General features: G+C 48.9%; 1 annotated feature.

Annotated features, from left to right (window-relative positions):
* Positions 355 to 1,206: an enhancer, noted in NCBI's record as "OCT4-NANOG-H3K4me1 hESC enhancer chr11:110435314-110436165 (GRCh37/hg19 assembly coordinates)". NCBI's record gives its function as "activates a minimal SCP1, AML or CMV promoter by ChIP-STARR-seq in naive H9 embryonic stem cells {active_cell/tissue: H9 hESC(naive)}" and the evidence as "EXISTENCE:reporter gene assay evidence [ECO:0000049][PMID:30033119]".

Raw genomic sequence — 1,522 nt, 5'->3', positions numbered from 1 at the left:
TAGAGGCCTGGGGTACTTGGTTGGGAGGGTGGGGGCAACTTGAAGGGGGCTAAATGTGGGAAACTGATAACCAGGCTTGTGGCTGAGCATCAGTTCCCTAACCTGGAAATGTCTTCGGTTTTCCCCAGGTTTACCCTCTTATCCAGAGTGAGACCTGCCAGGGCTTTGACGTTCACCCCAGCCCAGCCCAGCCCATGCCTGTGTGTGACTGACCAGGCTACAAAGGCTCTCTCGGAATCTGAGGTTAAGAAAGATGAAGGGCCAGTGCCGCCTGTCTGTCTGCAGTGGGCATATTGCATAATCACAGCTTTCTCTGATCTTTCTTGAGAGAGCTCTTCGTTTCTTCGCTTCTTCCTCTCAGCTTTGTAATACGACACCCAGCCACTGGCCTCTTATCTTTGCTGCCTCCTCACCTCCCAACTCCTCTCTCAGATATACACAGAGAACAGAGACCACTCCTGCTTTGAGGCCTCAAGGATCAAGTTCATTCCCTTAACACCCTTTGCTTGCTGGACTCACTGCTGATACCACAGCCAGGCAAGGACCTTACACTTTCCACCCCGCCTCCCACGCCACTTCATCCTGCCCTCATCTCCTCCCTCTCCAGATTATATCGCATCTCACTCAGGCTCTGGGGACCCATCTCAGGGTGGAGACAGGGTCTGGATTTGAATATTTGTTATGGAGTTTTTTGGCTTCTCCATAAACTAAGGAGACATGAGAAAACAAGATTGCTGCCTTTCTCAGACCACTTTTATGTTTTGAACACTCCTCTGTAGGGCAATAACAAGGAGCCCTGGGCTATCAGGCTGAACCCCCATGTCTGGCTGGAGGAGGGGCAGCCTGTATGGTCCAGCTTAACACTTCTAGGCCTAAACTCAGCTGGGTACCATGGGAGCGGATGTTTTCCACCTATCAAAAACTTTAGATCATTCCCATCACAAATCGGCAATCTGCATCATAAAGAGACTCCCTGCCTGCCCCCTCTGCTCTTAAGAGGGACTGTACTTTAAAGCAAGGAAAAAGAAAAAGATTGCCCTCTTGTAGCTCTTCTCAAAGACGTGGACTGCAGTGAGCAGGGACCGTCCTTCCAAGGTCTCAGACTGCTCGGGTTTCTCAGAGGTAGGAGCAGGATACCCATAACATTTTCGACATTTTTAAAAAGCCAATTATAAAACTGCACAGGTTAATGGCAGTTACTTTTGGTTGTATGTAATTCATGAATCCATGTTAACATGTGGGAAAGTAAGGTCTGACTCCTGACAAAATAAACTACCTACAATCACATGAGTTTTTTGGTGAAAGGTATGTTAAAAATTGGGGATGTAGAGGGGGAACAAAAATCACAAAAGCAGCCATGAGAGGTCACAAGGCTAGACACCCGTGGCAGCCTGCTCGGGGGCTCATTCTGTGTCCCCATCCATTGTGAACCTCTCAGATTCTCATGTGAGGCTCCCACTGCACAGCTCAGCGCCCAGCACACGCACCATAGGACTAAAACACCTCAAGGTTGTTTTTTCTG

The sequence above is a fragment of the Homo sapiens genome, chromosome 11 (assembly GCF_000001405.40).
Source record: "Homo sapiens chromosome 11, GRCh38.p14 Primary Assembly".
Taxonomy (NCBI): domain Eukaryota; kingdom Metazoa; phylum Chordata; class Mammalia; order Primates; family Hominidae; genus Homo; species Homo sapiens.
The sequence above is the reverse complement of the archived record's forward strand: the minus strand, read 5'-3'. Positions and strand labels throughout refer to the sequence as shown.